Source organism: Homo sapiens, chromosome 7 (assembly GCF_000001405.40).
Source record: "Homo sapiens chromosome 7, GRCh38.p14 Primary Assembly".
NCBI classification, from domain to species: Eukaryota; Metazoa; Chordata; class Mammalia; order Primates; family Hominidae; genus Homo; species Homo sapiens.
This window is the reverse complement of record NC_000007.14, coordinates 103,034,447-103,055,356: the sequence shown is the minus strand read 5'-3', so window position 1 is coordinate 103,055,356 and position 20,910 is coordinate 103,034,447. Positions and strand designations below refer to the sequence as shown.

The window sequence follows — 20,910 nt, the reverse complement described above, 5'->3', positions numbered from 1 at the left end:
AAAATCTTGCGAGAGTAGTTTGAAAAAGTCCTCCAGGTGATTCTGATCTGCTTCTCCTAAGGGGAAATGTGTTTTCCTTCTCCTCCCTTTCATTCCACCTACAAGAATCACTGATTTAATTACGGAACTAACTAATTAATGAAATTAATTTTGACTGTATTTTATGATGTTATTAAAGGGATATGTGCATTACTCCATCAATGAAACCAAACATTCGAAGATTGTCTGAAACTTACCTGGAACAACTTTTTGAATTGGATGATCAGCTGGTAATTATTAGTAATCAAGAATACGCAAATATATATTTTAAACTTCGATGGAATTTTCCAAGTAGATTTTATATTTATGGGAGGTGTGAGGTCAGACTGTTTTTGTTGTTGGGGGCACCGAGAAAAGTGAAGGAATAGCCACACACATACACAGACGCATGCAAAGCCACATTCATAGTAACCTTCCCAAATTTCCAGAAAGTATTTACAAAGGCATTTGTTCCTTCTCTTATAAAATCTTTCCATTAAGTTTTCCCCCTTTCCTCTTTCTCCTCCTTCTCCTCTCGTGCATCTTTATAAAGATGAAAATAGAATTATGGAAAGCTTTACAAGAGGATGTTTTCTTTCCTTTCTAATCTGCTTCCTTCTGTGTTCCATTCCACCGCCCATTCTCTCTGCTGTCTGCCTTCTCAGATTAGGTTACAGGGAATCATGCTCGTAATGACATGACCAAAATATTATTGACATCCAACTTAAAAGACAGATCTCATTGTTACTGAAAACTGGTACCAGCAGCTAGTTTTGATCCTGTAAAGAGGGCAAGGAAGTAATTTAGGACATGAAGACTTTAGAACAAAGATAAATGTTTAAGAGAGGCTAACAGAGCAAAAGGCACATGAAGAGAGAAATACTAACACAAATTAGATATGTGTGGAACCATGTGTGATAACTCTCTCTCTTTTTTTTTTTTTTTTTTCCAGACGGAGTCTTGCTCTGCTGCCCAGGCTGGAGTGCAATGGCGCGATCTTGGCTCACTGCAACCTCCACCTCCCGGGTTCAAGTGATTCTCCTGTCTCAGCCTCCCAAGTAGCTGGGATTACAGATGCATGCTGCCACGCCACTAAAATATAATTTTTTGTGTTTTAGTAAAAACGGGGTTTCACCATGTTGGCCAGGCTGGTCTCGAACTCCTGACCTCAGGCAATCCACCTGCCTCAGCCTCAGATTACAGGTGTGAGCCACTGTGCTTGGCCCGTGCATGATATCTCTTGATTACAGGGCTGTTGTCTGGTAGGTCCAGGCAGGACTTGGAGTTGCTACTGAAGTTGGATGTTGAAAAGTGGAATCAAAGCCATGTTCAAGGTGGGGGCTGAGAGGCAAAAACAATTTGAGGCATCTGTTTAGAAGGATGGGTGGAGAGTAACACTGGATCCTAATCAGTGGTCTGCAACAGAGAAACAGAATTAGAGGGATGAGATGATTCTGAGGTGCCAGTACACTGGGCAGAACCCATGTATCCCATCCTACTTGATCTGCATCATGGTGTGTAGGTGTTTTTATAGTACTTTATTAACCACAGACTTTTGACCTATGGAGTGCAGATATCTGCAAATTACTGTGTTTTTGGAGCTGTTTGGGGACAACCTCAGGAGCTGAGGGAGAGGCCTAGGGGACAGGATTCTGGGTTGTGTATGCCTACTCCTATACTCCAGAATAGTTTTGGTTTCAGTATGATTTTGCTTGAGAAAAGCTTGACAACTATTGCTAAAATATGCTAAAGTTTTTGAAAACCACTGATTTAGCGTGGTAAACCCTATTGTCAATATTACGACAAAGACCTTATATAAAATCAGGCTGTGTCCAGTGTCCAGCTAGAAGCCCGTAGGGAATCACTTAAAAACTGCAGAGAATTCTGGCTGGGTGCGGTGGCTCATGCCTGTAATTCCAGCACTTTGGGAGGCCGAGGCAGGTGGATCACCTGAGGTCAGAAGTTCGAGAGCAGCCTGGCCAACATGGTGAAACCCTGTCTCTACTAAAAGTACAAAAATTAGTTGGGCATGGTGGCGGGTGCCTGTAATCCCAGCTACTCAGGAGGCTGAGGCAGGAGAATCACTTGAATCAAGGAGGTGGAGGTTGCAATGTGCCAAGATTGCGCCACTGTGCTTCAGCCTGGGCGACACAAGAGCAAGACTTCGTCTCAAAAAACAAAACAAAACAAAACAAAACAAAAACAAACAAAAAACCTGTAGAGAATTTCAAGAGACATCATAGCTACTTCAAACCTAAAGTTTTATTAGAAAAGGAATTGTCGGCTGGGCGCAGTGGCTCACGCCTGTAATCCCAGCACTTTGGGAGGCTGAGGCGGGTGGATCACCTGAGGTCAGGAGCTTGAGACCAGCCTGGCCAACATGGTGAAATCCTGTCTCTACCAAAAATGCAAAAATTAGCTGGGCGTGGTGGCGGGTGCCTGTAATCCCAGCTACTTGGGAGGGTGAGCCAGGAGAATCACTTGAACCTGGGAGGCGGAGGTTGCAGTGAGCCGAGATCGTGCCACTGCACTCCAGCCTGGGCGACCAGAATGAAACTCCATCTCAAAAAAAAAAAAAAAAAGAAAAGGAATTGTCAGAGATGTTTCATGATGTTGAAAATGCAAAAGTTAAAATATTAGAAGCTGATCCAAACTTAGAGTTATGACAGTTTGCCAAGGCATAGAAAAGGTGTCCACTTCATATAATAAGTTGGAAATAATAAAAATGAGATATGACTTTGCAAAAGCAATGACGAAAATATTTGTTAAGGTTAGACATGAAAATGTGAATCTCCAAGTGTCCTAGGGTTGCTTGTTAGAGGGCTCAACCTAGGTTGGATCCACATTAATTTCTCCTCCACCGTCAGAGAAAAATGAAATTTTTTTTTTTACAAAGAAGCAAAACACTTTAGTCCTCAATATTTTTGATATTTTAAAGTATATACACTAAAGCCAGGCACAGTGGCATGCACTTGTACTCCCATCTACTTAGGAGGCTGAGGTAGGAGAATTGCTTGAGGCCAGGAGTTTGAAACCAACCTGGGCAACATAGTGAGACCTCATCTCTTAAAAAAAATGTATAGTATACTAAATGAATATTGGTTTTACTTTTTTTCATATGCCTTTCCTATGTGGTTTTCCATACCGTTATAACTGGCAGTAAAATGATTTTTAATGTTTCAACAAAAAACTTCAAAGGTTATGAATAACTATAATTTTTCCCATTAATTGTGGATTGCCTAATTGCAGGGTTTTTCAGTCTTACACTACACAGTTCTGCACAGTGAGGACTGCCAATATGTGCTGTTAAAGTGATCTAAATATGTCCTGAGAAGGACTCTGTACTTCTGTATTTGAGTTCTTGTGGAAGAACTGCAACCTAGCTTAATAGGTAGACAAGATTGAAAACCTAACTAGGAGTATGTGCCTGTAACAATAGCTGAGACTTGGCCAATCCCAGCAGCCGTACTTTAACCATTCATACACTACTGAGTGTTCAAACTGTGTTCAACCAAGGAAAACATCAATCTGTAACCAATCCAGCTGTTCTATACCTAATTCCAATTTCTGTACATCATTTCCCCTTTTTTGTTTATAAATCTTCCACCAGGTGGCTGCGCTGGAGTCTCTGTGAATCTGCTGTGATTCTGGGGGCTACCTGACTTGCAAATTGTTCATCGTTCAATTAAACTCCTTTAAATTTAATTCGGCTAAAGTTTTTCTTTTATCAGATGGTGTCAGAAATGGGATCTGAGGTAGAGCTTCTAGCGACCCCAGGAGCGTTGAGTGAACTGAACAAACAAGGTACCTGCAGGACCCACTTGTGTTCACTGATCTCTCAGAGCAGCTGGGGATCGTGGGTAAGCTCTCTCTCGGATTTCAGAGCTCCATGGATTTGTGTTTTGAGCTCTCCGAGTTTCTTTGAGCAAATTTCTGATCCAAACAGGGTTTGGAAGTCACGACAGAAACTCAGCTGGGTCCAGGAATGGATTTGATCTGGGAATTAATTGGCTTGGATCCAGTTAGAGGTCTCTTACACCTGACTGGTTCAGAAAGGAACTGATAGTAAGCAGTAATATTGCAGGGGTTATAAAAGTTGGCTTTTGAAAATTCACAGGAATTTTTATGTTCTACCCCTTTGTTTCATTTTTCTTGCATGCTTAGGTAGGAAAAATCATTGGCTCAGTTAATCAAGAGACCCTGAGAATCAAGCCAATATTTTAGGTAAAAATGAGATCCTTAATTTCTGGAAAACTAAGTTCCTTCCAGCTTATACATTAGGCCTGGGAGGCAGCATAGTCTTAGAGAAATGACAAAATCTTACTAAAGGTAACTTACAGTGGAATGTTCCAAATGAGCAACAAAGCAATGAAGTGTGTTTAAAAATGAGGGTTCTCAGTAAAGTCTCTTTCAGTTAAGAACAGGTTTGGCGCTATGGGATGTTAACTGCTATTCTCTTTTGATTAATCTGTCTTGTACTTTTTGCTGACGGCTATAGGTGACAGTATTAGGCATGTACAGGACCATGGGACATGGGAAGCTTTTTCCTCCCCAAAAGGGGAAACTTGAGAGCTGATGGGATTGCTGGAAAAGATGCCTTCACTACTGACAAGTGGCCGCCTGAATTTTTCAGTGTCATTGCAATGAGTGGGTCTTGCTCTGGCCTCCCTGAGCTCTTCACCTTCCCCACCTTGCCACAGGCAATACTTTTCTTTCTCTACCTTTCCTTTCCTATCTTTTCTGTTACTCAGGGCAACCATCTTGCCCAGAGACCATGTGTTGAAACTCCTAGTTGGAGGTTGGATTAAAGATGACAGGGGCCATCTGAAGGCAAATTTAAGCCTTACCAGTTTGATATTGGGTGCTAAGCAGAGTGGCTAATGTCTATGTTTTATCATATGTGTTTTGTTCTGGCCAAAACGAAAAAAGTTAATTTTCCTTTATGATGCAGCTTGGCCCCCAGGGCGATGGTGTGGCAAGCTGGGACGCTAGGGCTGCTCAGGGAAAGGGAAAGAAAGCCCAGAAGCCTGGCATGCTAGTAAAAGGGTAAGAATTTCTTACCAGTCATATTTCTGGCTTTTTTCCTCTTTTTCTTTGTGCAAAATGGTTAAATGAATGGCAAAAATTACTCTTATCTCCCGTGTAAAGTTTTGATTGATACAAAAAAAATTCTGAGGCTTCTCTTAAGCTGTAGTGAATCTGATGTGCTTTGTGTGTCTTTCTGTATTGTTCTGTCATAAAGAGGGGTACCTTAGGATAAAATGTGTGCCCAAAACCTCATAAGCCTGTTGTTCAAGACGACCCAGCAAACTGGTCAGTTATGTGCTTAGGCGCTTGACCTTGTAGCCACGTGGCTATGCTTTCTCTTTTCACAATGGTGGCCTGGGTTCAGAGTTCAATCCCTAGCTTAGGGGATGAGCCTTTCTGATTGATATTTGGGTGACCTTTGCCATTTTTTGATTCTCTTCCCCTCCACCAACTGTCTTGAATTTTCCTTTCTCAGAGCACCTGTGAGGTTACCTTGGGTAAAGTTTAAAAGCCAGAAATATCAGCTCTTTGGCCTGGCTAAAGTCGGGTAATAAGAAATTTTAAAAGGACTTTATTAAAGAGTGCTATGGTTAAAAGTCAGCTTAATTAAAAGTGGATATTCAAGCTCTCACAGCCTGGGACTCCTTGGGAAAAACAGGAGGCACCAGAGATCCTTTCTTGGCCCTGTTCTTGCGAGGACTCCACCCCAAAGCCAGTAATCTAATTAAGAAACTTAAAAACTGGTGAATGGAAAATCTTACAACTACTGTAGTAATCTTCTTTGGTTTGTCTGTGTAGTTATATATGTGTTGTGTGTGTAATGTTTGTATAAAAGAACTCTAATTCATTGGTTTAAACAAAAATAAGTGCTTAAATATTTTGAAAGAAAAACTGTAATGCTTTTTAGTTCATGTAACTTAAGTCATCTTTGGGAAATATAAACAGCTTTAAAGATTATTGATAAAATAAAGACATTTAGTCTAAATTATGCAGGTCAGATATTAGGTTTGCTTAATATGTTTAAGGCCATAAACTGCTTTGACCTTTGAAAATTGTTGAATTTATTTTGGAGACATTACATTCTAAATAAGTCCTGGGGATATGTGGAATTAGCCATGCCACCTAGCTATGAAAAGAAGGTTATAAAGAAAAGAGATTTTATATAAGAAAGGATCTTGTAGAGTAAATTCTTGTCCTAAAGTAAAATGACTGGTTGTTTAAAAAGAGGGATGTTTAGGACAAGTCAGAAAGACCAAGCATGTTGTAGATGGTCTGTGTAAGTCGTGAAAGGATTCATAAAAGAAAATTTATGCACCAAAAGTGAAAGTTGCTAAGAATTACCATTATAACATGTGATTGAGACTACTGAAAAACTAGGTTTACACGCAAGGTGTGTGAGGAGAATGAAACATGTTTTTGGTAAGAGATTATAAGAATGCATGGGAATGTAAATTTTTACCTAGTTTAATGGGTTAAAGGATTGTTTTAAATTAAATAGAATAAAGCTAAAGGTTTGAACAAGTTGTGGAAGGTTTGTAAAAATTTGTAAAAGAAATTCTGTGTGTGAAAATATTGACTAAATTTAAAAGTGTATTGTTCAGTTTTTCTGTAAATTGAACATTGAAATAAAAGCATAATAGGGTTTTCTTAAAGCACTAATCTGCTCTTTAATAAAAATTGGTAAAGGGTTATAAAAGGTTTATGAAAATCTCACCTTATGGTCAAACTGATTAAGATTAGATAGATTTGTCTGTGAGGTTTTATTAAAAATTGGGGTTGACATTAATAGTCCACTAATGCAAGGGTGAAATTTGGCTTTCTCTCTTGAACAAGATTTTCATGTAATATTAAAAGGTAATGAAAGATTTTTGTTTTGTTTGCCTTTTAAATACACTATCAAAAAAAAAAAAAAGAAAGGAAAGACAAAAGACAGATTGTTTGGAAAGCTGAGTCTTCCCTCTATCAATGAGTAAAGGTTTTTGCCTTTAAAAAATTTTTTGAGTCATCATTTTGGCTAAGTGAGTGACTTACAGTGACCTGGAATTCTAGTTCATAATATCAAGTGTTTTAAAACTTTATATATATATCTTTATATTTAATAGGCTTCCCAAAATTAAATTTCAGCTTTAAAATGGTCTTTTCTGACCTCTAACTTTGGAACGCTACAGAGGGCCCCTGAAGCATCCAAAAGAGAGGTAAACAGAATTATTTAACATGTTAAGTTACATGGGAAGCATTGTCAAAATAAAAATAATGTTTAATCTTCAGGTTATATTTTAGTGAATGATATTAATGTATGTTCTAAAATTGTATGGGGCCAGGCACAGTGGCTCATGCCTGTAATCCCAACACTTTGGGAGACCGAGGAAGGCAGATCACCTGAGGCTAGGAGTTTGAGACCAGCCCGGCTAACATGGTGAAACCCCGTCCCTACTAAAGGTACAAAAAGTTAGATAGGCATGGTGGCGGGTGCCTGTAAGCCCAGCTACTTGGGAGGCTGAGGTGGAAGAATCACTTGAACCCAGGAGGCGGAGGTTGCAGTGAGGCAAGATCGTGCCTCTGCACTCCAGCCTGGGTGACAGAGCAAGACTCCATCTCAAAAACAAACAAAAAAAAATGTATAGGACTTATAAAATTCTAATATGTCTGAGTATATACTGTCAACCATAATTATAGTTATTATGTTAAGTTATTGTATATCACAGAAATAACCAAACTTCCTTGTATAGAACTGCTAACCCAAGTAAAACAAAAAATTAATTAAATACCAAGAAAATACTTTGCCAAGATTTTCATGTTAAACCAGCCGATAGTGAAATTGATTAGATATACAATTTGAATTCCATAGTCTAAGTCTCATTACCTGTGATAACCATTAGTTATCAGTGCTATGAATTTAAATTGGAGAAACAACTGGTATTCAACAGGACATAAGTCCAATATTAAGCATAGACTCATGGAAGACCAGGAAGGCTATCTTGTCCTTCCTGAGCCCTTAAAGCTTTTGTTATTAAAGGCTCTGCATTCCATGACTCATCATGGAAAAGATAAAATCATCCAAATTGAATATATTGATATAATGACTTATACATTTCAAAAATAGTTTAAAACCAATGTTTGGTTCCATATTCCTGGGAAGACAATCAAACCTTCATGTACGCTTGGCTATCAGGTACGTTTGGCTATCCGATGGGTCATTTAAACATTTATAAAGGGAGTTCATTCAACTGTCATTTTTAATGCATGTTTTATGCTACAGTAATTATTACGCCACAGTATATTTTCACCAGGTAAAGAAAGTTTTTATGGTTCACCGAGGATAATCAACTGCTTCACAGTCTAGAACCTAAAGACTGGATCTTTTGAGAACATCAGAGAAAGACTGTGCTTGCCATCCACACTGCAACAAAACTTTGGAACCTTGAACTTTAAGTTCATAATCTCACAACTGAGAAGGGTCCCTCCACACTATTGGAACTGTACACCCATTGGAACCCTTAAGGTAAAACTAACCAGGAAAGTTTCTCCCCAGAATAAGATGGCATCCTTGATGTAAACAGCTTTTCCCGAGATCACAGATCAAGACATCTACTATTGTGAGACTCTTATCTTTGAATATTTTTTCCTTATTTATGCCTCTGTAGCCAATAGAAATGATGAGGGGGTCTATTATGTGCACTTATAGGGTATACTTTTATTCGTGAAGGATTTTGCACCAGCCTTATACATGAATAACTTTATACTTTGATGGATAAAAGATGAAGGCCCAACATAGGTGAGAAACTTTAATGGTATATATGTCGCCTCATAATCAGTCAAAACTCCTCTTAGCCCACATCATGGGTTAAATAGAACATTGCCAGGAGGCCTTCACTCTTCTAGAAGGACATCATTTGTTAGGTCCTTTTTCCATGGTTTAGAATAAAAGAGGCAATAATTAGAAATGTATCCCTCATGATAGGCTGTATAGCAGATTCTAATGTAAAGCCTATTGTTACACAACAGACTTTAAATTCTCTTGTGAAAGTTATGCTAAATAATATAATTGGCTAAACAGAAAAGTACCTGTGCAGCTTCTGACACTTGTGGCCTATGGAGAAATACATCAAACGTAGATTATAAAAATTCAGTTGTAGATGATTAATGAAAAGACCACTTAAAGCAAGTAGACTCTTTATCCAGCTCATTCTTTAATCTATTTAATTTTAGGTGGTTCGGTTTATGGGTACCCTGGGTAAGGAGCATACTCTAAACTCTTGGTATTATCCTCCTGAGAGTCATAATAATAGTCTCCCTGGTGCACTGTATTCTCTCGAAGGTTTTAAATCTTGCATGCAGCCACCTCTAGAATGTCAAATGGTCTCTCTTCAAATGGAAAGACGAGCTGAAAGAAATGTGCGACCATGAGATTACTATAACCTATGAATGACGTGGTGAGACTGGAAACCCAAAATGATGGTAACTGAGAGTGGCACTAAGGCCCTAAGTTTTGGTCACACTTTCACCTAAGTGAGAACCTGACCAAAAAGGGGGGAATCTTTTTTAAACAAAGTTGTGGGAGGCCACTGTTTTGGACTAAGCTCATTCACTAGGCCCCAACAGGCCAAACCAAACTAAAATGGGGTCACTTATGCTAAATGTGACATAATCAAACTAAGACTTTACGGAAACACATAGATCCTAGAACAGACCAGGTTTTGTTTTTCTCCTGTAAATAGGACATTCCAGCATAAAGAGGTACCCATAAAGGGTCCCTCTACTCATACTTGTTTTTACCTTTGCAAAACTCAATGTTCTACTGTTTCCCAGTATGTTTCAAGACCAAATAAGTACTTTTACAATGGTGATAGTGACATTGATAATTAAAGTTTTGGTCAATCTCTCAAAATTGAGAAAATGACCAAAAGGGGGAAGTTGTTAAAGTGAACTAAATGTGGCCTGAGAAGGATTCCCTGTTTCTATATTTGAGTCTTTGTGGACGAACTGCAACCTAGCTTAATAGATAGACAAGATTGAAAACCTAACTAGGAGTATGCACGTGTATCAATAGCTGAGTCTTGGCCAATCCCAGCAGCCATACTTCAACCATTCATACACTGCTGAGTGTTCAAACTGTGTTCAAATAAGGCAAACACCAATCTGTAACCAGTCCAGCTGTTGTGTACCTCACTTCCAATTTCTGCACATCATTTCCCTTTTTGTGTCTATTAATCTTCTTCCACCATGTGGCTGCACTGGAGTCTCTCTGAATCTGCTGTGATTCTGGGGGCTGCCCAATTCACAAATTATTCATTGCTCAATTAAATTCCTTTACATTTAATTCGGCTGAAGTTTTTCTTTTATCATTGCCTATTTATAAAGGATAAATATGTCTCTACTTAAAGACGAGTGAATACAGGAAACTGTGAGTAAGCCAAATAGTAAAGAAAAAGTAGGAACTGCTCTCATAATAGTAGAAGGAAAGACAATTTCATTGTTTCAAGCATTCCAAGATGAAAGAATCAACCATTGTAAGGAGGAAATGAACTTCACAGACTTGGTTCTCATTTCTTAGGAAATGAAATCTCCAGATGGGCCTTCTAACTACAAGAGAAAGCATATATAAAATTTAAAAAATCTTTTTATTATGGAAACATTTTAATATAACACAGAAGTAGAAGGAATACCATAATGATCACTCATCATCTAACTTGAACAATAATCAGCATTTTGCCAATCTTGTTAATTTATTCTCTCTTCCTCCATTTTTGCTGGAGTATTAGAAAGCAAATCCCAGAAATTATATTATACTGTAGTGTGCATCTCTAATAGGAGATTATATTTTTAGAGAATAGAAACACAGTGCCACTGTCTTATGAATAAATAACAATAATTCCTGAATGTCATCTAGTCCTGATTATATTCAGATTCATATTCTATATTTTAGTTTCCCAGATTGTCTCAAAAATGTCTTTTTACATGTGGCTGTGTTCAAATCAGAATTCATACAGAGTCTACATATTGCACTTGGTTGTTATTTATCTAACATCTCTTGTAATGGACAAGAATTCTCCTTGTCTTATTTTTTCTGCATGCGACTTATTTATTGAAGGAAACGGGTAATTTGTCTTGTAAAATGTCCCAGGTTCTCAATGCTTCCTCTAGTGTCATTTTACTTACTCTGTTTCCCGTATTTCATGCAAGCTGGTAGTTAAATCTAGATGCTTGATTTCATTCAGGTTCCCCCCTACCAACATTTTGTGTGGACAATAATATTGCATAGAGGTGTTGTGTTTTTCCTAGTGCATCACATCTGGAGGCACACATGATCTGGTTGACCCACTTTTAATGAATCTTGACTCCTAGAGATCTTAATATCATTCTGTATTAATTGTATCCTACAATGTGCATATAATGATTTCCGAATAACATTACCATAGAACCACTAACAAAAAGACTACTGAATGCAGTTTAAGAAGATTATGCAATTCTTTTTGCTTTTAAGATGTGTATATTCAGGTTGGGTGCAGTGGCTCACACCTGTAATCCCAGCACTTTGGGAGGCCAAGGCAGGTGGATCACCTGAGGTCAGGAGTTCAAGACCAGCCTGGCCAACATGGTGAAACCCTGTCTTTACTAAAAATGCAAAAAAATTAGTTGGGCATGGTAGCACACACCTGTAATCCCAGCTACTTGGGAGGCTGAGGCAGGAGAATTGCCCAGACCCTGAAGGCTGAGGTTGCAGTGAGCTGAGATCATGCCATTAGACTCCGGCCTCGGCGACGGAGGTGCCATAATAAACATACGTGTGCATGTGTCTTTATAGTAGCATGACTTATAATCCTTTGGGTATATACCCAGTAATGGGATTGCTGGGTCAAATGGTATGTATTTCTAGTTCTAGATCCTTGAGGAATCACCACACTGTCTTCCACAACAGTTGAACTAATTTACACTCCCGCCAACAGTGTAAAAGCATTCCTGTTTCTCCACATCCTCTCCAGCATCTGTTGTTTCCTGACTTCTTAATGATCTCCATTCTAATGGGCATGAGATGGTATCTCATTGTGGTTTTGATTTGCATTTCTCTGATGACCAGTGATGATGAGCTTTTTTTCATATGTTTGTTGGCTGCATAAATGTCTTCTTTTGAGAAGTGTCTGTTCATATCCTTTGCCCACTTTTTGATATGGTTGTTTGTTTTTTTCTTGTAAATTTGTTTAAGTTCTTTGTAGATTCTGGATATTAGCCCTTTGTCAGATGAGTAGATTGCAAAGATTCTCTCCCATTCTACAGGTTGCCTGTTCACTCTGATGATAGTTTCTTTTGCTGAGCAGAAGCTCTTTAGTTTAATTAGATCTCATGTGTCTATTTTGGCTTTTGTTGCCATTGCTTTTGGTGTTTTAATCATGAAGTCTTTGCCCATGCCTATGTCCTGAATGGTATTGCTTAGGTTTTCTTCTAGGGTTTTTATGGTGTTAGGTCTTACATTTAAGTCTTTAATGCATCTTGAGTTAATTTTTGTATATGGTGTAAGGAAGGGATCCAGTTTCAGCTTTCTACACTTGGCTAGCCAGTTTTTTCAGCACAATTTATTAAATAGAGAACTCTTTCCCCATTGCTTGTTTTTCTCAGATTTGTCAAAGATCAGATGGTTGTAGATGTGTTGTGTTATTTCTGAGGTCTCTATTCTGTTCCATTGGTCTATATATCTGTTTTGGTACCAGTACCATGCTGTTTTGGTTACTGTAGCCTTGTAGTATAGTTTGAAGTCTCCATGATGCCTCCAGCTTTGTTCTTTTTGCTTAAGACTGCCTTGGCTATGTGGGCTTTTTTTTGGTTCCATATGAACTTTAAAGTAGTTTTTTCCAATTCTGTGAAGAAAGTCAGTGGTAGCTTGATGGGGATAGCATTGAATCTATAAATTACCTTGGGTTGTATGGCCATTTTCATGATACTGATTCTTCCTATCCATGAGCATGGAATGTTCTTCCATTTGTTTGTGTCCTCTTTTATTGTGTTGAGCAGTAGTTTGTAGTTCTCCTTGAAGAGGTCCTTCACATCCCTTGTAAGTTGGATTCCTAGGTATTTTATTCTCTTTGAAGCAATTGTGAATGGGAGTTCACTCATGATTTGGCTCTCTGTTTGTCTATTATTGGTGTATAGGAATGCTTGTGATTTTTGCACATTGATTTTGTATCCTGAGACTTTGCTGAAGTTGCTTATCAGCTTAAGGAGATTTTGGGCTGAGACAATGGGTTTTTCTAAATATACAGTCGTGTCATCTGCAAAGAGACAATTTGACTTCCTCTTTTCCTAATTGAATACCCTTTATGTCTTTCTCTTGCCTGATTGCCTAGCCAGAAGAACTTCCAAAACTATGTTGAATAGGAGTATTGAGAGAGGGCATCCTTGTCTTGTGCCAGTTTTCAAAGGGAATGCTTCTAGTTTTTGCCCATTCAGTAGGATATTGGCTGTGGGTTTGTCATAAATAGCTCTTATTATTTTGAGATATGTTCCATCAATACCTAGTTTATTGAGAGTTTTTAGCATGAAGGGCTGTTGAATTTTGTCAAAGGTCTTTTCTACATCTATTGAGATAATCATGTGGTTTTTGTCATTGGTTCTGTTTATGTGATGGATTATGTTTATTGATTTGCATATGTTGAACCAGCCTTGCATCCCAGGGATGAAGCCAACTTGATTGTGGTGGATAAGCTTTTTGATGTGCTGCTGGATTCAGTTTTCCAGTATTTTATTAAGGATTTTCACATTGATGTTCATCAGGGATATTGGCCTAAAATTCTCTTTTTTAGTTTTGTCTCTATCAGGCTTTTGTATCAGGATGATGCTAGCCTCATAAAAAGAGTTAGGGAAGATTCTCTCTTTTTCTATTGATTGAAATAATTTCAGAAGGAATGGTACCAGCTCCTGTTTGTACTTCTGGTGGAATTTGGCTGTGAATCCGTCTGGTCCTGGTCTTTTTTTGGTTGGTAGGCTATTATTGCTTCAATTTCAGAACCTGTTTTTGGTCTATTCAGAGATTCAACTTCTTCCTGATTTAGTCTTGGGAGGGTGTATGTGTCCAGGAATTTGTCCATTTCTTCTAGATTTTCTAGTTTATTTGCATAGAGGTGTTTACAGTATTCTCTGATGGTAGTTTGTATTTCTGTGGGATCGGTGGTTATAACCCCTTTATCATTTTTTATTGTATCTATTTGATTCTTCTCTCTTTTCTTCTTTATTAGTCTTGCTATCGGTCTATCAATTTGTTGGTCTTTTCAAAAAACCAGCTCCTGGATACATTGGTTTTTCGAAGGGTTTTTTGTGACTCTCTCCTTCAGTTCTGCTCTAATCTTAGTTATTTCTTGCCTTCTGCTAGCTTTTGAATGTGTTTGCTCTTGCTTCTCTAGTTCTTTTAATTGTGATTTTAGGGTGTCGATTTTAGATCTTTCCTGCTTTCTCTTGTGGGCATTTAGTGCTATCAATTTCCCTCTACACACTTCTTTAAATATGTCCCAGAGATTCTGGTACATTGTGTCTTTGTTCTCCTTGGTTTCAAAGAACATGTTTATTTCTGCCTTAATTTTATTATTTATTTAGCCAGGAGTCATTCAGGAGCAGGTTGTTCAGTTTCCATGTAGTTGTACAGTTTTGAGTGAGTTTATTAATCCTGAGTACTAATTTGATTGCACTGTGGTCTGCGAGACAGTTTTTTGTGATTTCTGTTCTTTTACATCTGGTGAGGAGTGTTTTACTACCAATTATGTGGTCAATTTTAGAATAAGTGCGACGTGATGCTCAGAAGAGTGTATATTCTGTTGATTTGGGGTGTGGAGTTCTTAGATGTCTATTAGGTCTCCTTGGTCCAGAGCTGAGTTCAAGTCCTGGATATCCTTGTTAACCTTCTGTCTCATTGATCTGTCTAATGTTGACAGTGGGGTGTTAAAGTCTCCCATTATTATGGTGTGGGAGTCTAAGTCTCTTTGTAGGTCTCTAAGGACTTGCTTTATGAATCTGGGTGCTCCTGTATTGGGTGCATATATATTTAGGATAGTTAGCTCTTCTTGGTGAATTGATCCCTTTACCAATATGTAGTGGCCTTCTTTGTCTCTTTTTGATCTCTGTTGGTTTAAAGTCTGTTTTATCAGAGACTAGGATTGCAACCCCTGCTTTTTTTTGCTTTCCATTTGCTTGGTAAGTATTCCTCCATCCCTTTATTTTGAGCTTATGTGCATCTTTGCACATGAGATGGGTCTCCTGAATACAACACACTGATGGGTCTTGACTCTTTATCCAGTATGCCAGTTTGTGTCTTTTAATTGGGGCATTTAGCCCATTTACATTTAAAGTTAATATTGTTATGTTTGAATTTGATCCTGTTATTATATTAGCTGGTTATTTTGCCTGTTAATTGATGCAGTTTCTTCATAGCATCGATGGTCTTTACCATTTGGAATGTTTTTACAGTGGCTGGTACCGGTTGTTCCTTTCCATATTTAGTGCTTCCACCAGGAGCTCTTGTAATGCAGGCCTGGTGGTGACAAAATCTCTCAGCATTTACTTGTCTGTAAAGGATTTTATTTCTCCTTCACTTATGAAACTTAGTTTGACTGGATATGAGATTCTGGGTTGAAAATTCTTTTCTTTAAGAATGTTGAATATTGGCCCCCACTCTCTTCTGGCTTATAAGGTTTCCGCCGAGAGATCCCCTGTTAGTCTGATGTGCTTCCCTTTGTGGGTAACCCAATCTTTCTCTCTGGCTGCCCTTAACATTTTTTCCCTCATTTCAACCTTGGTGAATCTGACAATTATGTGTCTTGGAGTTGCTCTTCTCAAGGCGTATCTTTGTGTTGGTGTCTGTGTTTCCTGAATTTGAATGTTGGCCTGCCTTGCTAGGTTAGGGAAGTTTTCCTGGATAATATCCTGAAGAGTGTTTTCTAACTTGATTGCATTCTCCCTGTCACTTTCCAGTACACCAATCAAATGTATATTTATTTGGTCTTTTCACCTAGTCCCATATTTCTTGGAGGCTTTGTTCATTTCTTTTCACTCTTTTTTCTCTAATCTTGTCTTCTTGCTTTATTTCATTAATTTGATCTTCAATCACTGATATCCTTTCTTCCACTTGATGGAATCAGCTATTGAAGCTTATGCATGCATCATGAAGTTCTCATGCCATGGTTTTCAGCTCCATCAGGTCATTTAAGGTCTTCTCTACACTATTCATTCTAGTTAGCCATTCATCTAATCTTTTTTCAAGATTTTTAGCTTCCTTGGGATGGGTTAGAACATGCTCCTTTAGCTCAGAGAAGTTTGTTATTACCCACCTTCTGAAGCCTACTTCTGTCAACTTGTCAAACTCATTCTCCATCCAGTTTTGTCCCCTTGCTGGCGAGGAGCTGCGATCCTTTGGAAGAGAATAGGCCCTGTGTCTTTTGGAATTTTCAGCTTTTCTGCTCTGGTTTCTCCCCATCTTTGTGGTTTTATCTACCTTTGGTCTTTGATGTTGGTGACCTACAGATGGGGTTTTGGTGTGGATGTCATTTTTGTTGATGTTCATGATATTCCTTTCTGTTTGTTAGTTTTCCTTTAACAGTCAGACCCCTGAGCTGCCAGTCTGTTGGAGTTTGCTGGAGGTCCACTCCAGACCTTGTTTGCCTATGTATCACCAGTGGAGGCTGCAGAACAGCAAATATTGCTGCCTGATCCTTCCTCTGGAAGCTTCGTCCCAGAGGGGCACCCGCCTGTTTGAGGTGTCTATCAGCCCCTACTGGGAGATGTTTCCCAGTCAGGCTACATGGGGGTCAGGGACCTGCTTGAGGAGGCAGTCTGTCCATTCTCAGAGCTTGAACGCCGTGCTGAGAGAATCACTGCTCTCTTCAGAGCTGTCAGACAGGGACGTTTAAGTCTGCAGAAGCTGTCTGCTGCCTTTTGTTCTACTATGCCCTGTCCCCAGAGGTGGAATCTATAGAGGCAGTAGGCCTTGCTGAGCTGTGGTGGGCTCCGCCCAGTTTGTGCTTCCTGGCCTCTTTGTTTACACTGTGAGCTACTCAAGCCTCAGCAATGGCAGATGCCCCTCCCCCCGCCAATCTGCAGTGTCGCAGGTCGATCTCAGACTGCTGCGCTAGCAGTGAGTAAGGCTCCATGGGTGTGGGACTCACCGAGCCAGGCATGGGAGGGAGGGTATCTCCTGGTCTGCAGGTTGCGAAGACTGTGGGAAAAGCTCAGTATTTGGTCAGGCATGTACCGTTTTCCCAGGTACAGTCTGTCATGGCTTCCCTTGGCTTGGAAAGGGAAATCCCCTGACCCCTTGCACTTCCTGGGTGAGGCGATGCCCTACCCTGCTTCAGCTCGCCCTCTGTGGGCTGCACCCACTGTCCAACCAGTCCCAGTGAGGTGCACCAGATACCTCAGCTGGAAATGCAGAAATCATCCGTCTTCTGCGTGGATCTCGCTGGGAGCTGCAGACCGGAGCTGTTTCTATTCGGCCATCTTGGAAGCATGCCCAAAAATATTCTTTTACAGACAGGGTCTCACTCTGTCACTCTTGCTGGAGTGCAGTGGCATGATCATAGTTCATTGTAACCTTGAATTCCTGAGCTCAAACAATCCTCCTGCCTCTGCCTCCTGAGTAGCTGGGACTACTAGATGTGAGCTACCACACCTGGCTAATTTTTTTTTCCTTTGGTACAGACAGAGTCTCACTGTGTTGCCCCAGCTGGTCTCAAACTCCTGGCCTCAAGAGATCTTCCTACCTCAGCCTCCCAAAGTGCTAGGATTATAGGCGTGACCCACTGTGTCTTTTAAAATAATAAAATAAAATACAAAATATTTTAAAATAATGCTATCACAGAGGAGCATCGTGTAAAAAAAACCCTAAAATGTAAATGAAAGATATGGATTTGAAAAGTCTTACTGATGAACAAAGTTTAACTGTGGAAAGGAAACTTAATCTTAAGACCCTTAGGGGCTGGAGTTTTAATCATTTGGGAGAGGCAGACAATGCCTGTGCCCCAAATAAGAATCAGTTGGTTGATAATCAGTTGGTTGATCCTGTATCCTTGTTGGCTCTGCAAAGGTATTTCATTTCTTTTGAAACTGAGTACATTACTGTTATCTGATAAGGCATCAAAATAAACATTACTGTAATCAGGAAGGAGTAAAACATTAAGTAAAGTGTGGAAGTAATGAAGATATGAACTAGATTCATGTTGTTTAGGATAAGTTTAAGTGTAACATATAATAATGATATGATATTTATGTATATTCTGTCTGCTATTTATGGCATTTTAGGTGTTCTAAGGAATGGCTTTGTAAATTGTAATTGTAGTTTAAATTATTTCAGGGACTTTACTTAATGAAGTTGGTAACAAACATGAACATGTTTAAGAAACATTGAGTTTCCAAAATTGTATTTATTTAAATATGTGTTTATTGGTAAAAAGCATTAAAGTACAAATGTTAGTGAGCGTTTCTGTCCAGGCACAAAAGCCCTTTAGGTATTAAAGACTCTTTTGGGCCAGGCACTGTGGCTTGTGCCTGTAACCCCAACACTTTGGGAGGCCGAAGTGGGCAGATCACTTGAGGCCAGGAGTTCAAGAGCAGCCTGGGCAACATGGTGAAACCCCATTTCTACTAAAAATACAAAAATTAGCTACGTGTGGTGGTGCACACCTGTAATCCCAGTTACTGAGGAGACTAAGGCACAAGAATCACTTGAACCGGGGAGTGGAGATTGCAGTGAGCCAAGATCGTGCTCCAGTCTGGGTGACAGATTGAGACTCTGTCTCAAAAATAAATAAATAAATAAATCAGTAATTTGCAGAAGATCAAGAAATAAGAAAAATGACTCATCATGAAAAATTCAACACTTCATACCATGCCGTGCTGCTATATATAAAGATATGTTCTCTCTGTATTAAAGACATGGCTTCTTTTTGCCATTGTTATTAACTTGTAGGGCTTTTGAAAAATAAAAAAAAAATCTGAGTTGGGAGGGATTTAAATTAGGCATATCCATTCAACACATATTTATAATCCCCATTCTGTTTTGCTATTATTATTCTAGAACAGTGGTCACCAACCTTTTTGGTACCAGAGACTGGTTTTGTGGAAGAAATTTTTTCCATGGACTGTGGTGGGGTGGTGGGGGTGATTTAAGGATGAAACTGTTGTACCTCAGATCATCAGGCATTAGTTAGATTCTCATAAGGAATGCACAACCTAGATCCTTTGCATGCACAGTTCACAGTGGGGTTCGTGCTCCCATGAGAATCTAATGCTGCGGCTGATGAGGTGGAGCTCAGGAGGTAATGCTCGCTTGCCCACTGCTCACCTCCTGCTGTGTGGCCTAGTTCCTAACAGGCCATGGACCTGTACCAGTCTGTGGCCTGGGGGTTGGAGACCCCTATTCTAGAATGATACTATGTGGGATATAAATGAAGCTCATTAATGAAGTAAAGGCATGGTACTTTATAATATGGTGAATTATGTTAAGACAATTTCATATATAATCTTTTGATTCACAGGTTAACTGAGCAAAAAAGGGAATTGCCTGCCAGAAGAAAAATAATATTACAATATGCTGGAAGCTAAAAATTATAATATAAAGTTAATGATTTACATTTATTTTACATTTGGTTCTTACCAGATTCTTAATACTTTACTAGATACTTTAAGTATTTTATAGAACTGAAACTTTTTTTCTATAGCTGTTGTTTAAATGCATTTTTTTACATATAGTAAATGGATATCTTACAAAATTAAAAATTAATGGGATCAATTACTACTTATATTAAAGAGCCATAAATTTGGTATCTGTTAAGTCAACAGTAATTTGTAATAGTATTTCATTATTTTTTCATTTACTACAACACTTCCCCAGGTCTCACCAACCTGGGATATTAGTAGAGCAGTGTTAATAGGAATATCCCAGATTTCACTGCCTCTAGCTCCTGTCTTCATAACACAAGAGGTCAGTTTCCTCTTCAAGTTCTACCCATTTGTGTCTGGGAATCCCAAAGCTATCCCATGTAAATTCAAGAATTCCTCCTAGTGTCTGTCTGGAACCTGTGAGGCCATCTGAAGGGGACCCTAGAACTGCCAACCTGGTCTTCCTAAGAGCCCCAATGTCTGCCTGAGCTGGTGTTCCAGGCTGTACACCTGGAATCCTTAAGTGCCAAATACTCTTCCTTTCCCTTGCCTGCCAACTTTACTCAGACCACACTGGTTGGTCACACTTTTCACAAGATGCCGTATTTTTCTGAAGACTGCTAATAACTCAAACTCATACTTCAAGACTAAAGCCGCATTTGTTTACCTGCCAAAATAGTACCACTTTGTGGCAATACTTAAACTTTTAATTCGTTTTCCCACCAGCTTTGAAAGGAAATACCTCTCAGTAAAATTTTAATTTGAAAGATTGTGTTTTTTCAAAAACTGGCATAATGTAAGACTTTTGTAATATATTTTGTATCACATTAGTTTAAGTTTGCAAAATTTAAAGTCACATTAAATTTGATGGCCTTGTACTCTGTGTGCTGTACAGTAGTGGGGGACATGCTGAGAGGTGACAGTGTGCTGGCAGCCCTCGCAGCCCTCGTTCGCTCTCGGCGCCTCCTCTGCCTGGGCTCCCACTTTGGCGGCACTTTAGGAGCCTTTCAGCCTGCCACTGCACTGTGGGATCCCCTTTCTGGGCTGGCCAAGGCCGGAACCGGCTCCCTCAGCTTGCGAGGAGGTGTGGAGGGAAAGGCGTGGGTGGGAACTGGGGCTGCCCACTGTGCTTGCGGGCCAGCGGGAGTTCCGGGTGGGCGTGGGCTCAGCGGACCCCGCACTCAGAGCGGCCAGCCGGCCCCACTGGCCCCGGGCAGTGAGGGGCTTAGC

General features: G+C 39.5%; 1 protein-coding gene across 17 annotated transcripts in view; it reads left to right on the top strand.

The window, feature by feature from the left end:
- FBXL13 (F-box and leucine rich repeat protein 13) overlaps nucleotides 1–20,910 on the top strand; it is a 263,608-nt gene that overhangs the window by 19,440 nt on the left and 223,258 nt on the right. For 12 of the 17 annotated variants that reach the window (NR_105043.2, XR_927410.4, XM_017011850.3 and 9 more), the window contains exon 3: nucleotides 179–269. The exons of 3 other annotated variants lie outside the window; for them this stretch is intronic. Coding sequence is in view for 10 of the 14 variants with exons in the window: in XM_017011850.3 (XP_016867339.1) it covers nucleotides 179–269 (91 nt within the window). In the remaining 4 variants the exon portion in view is untranslated. Of the gene's footprint in view, nucleotides 1–178; nucleotides 270–7,170; nucleotides 7,242–8,336; nucleotides 8,549–20,910 lie in introns of those variants that run through there. 2 more of the 17 variants (XM_017011853.2, XM_011515930.3) reach the window with 2 other exon arrangements.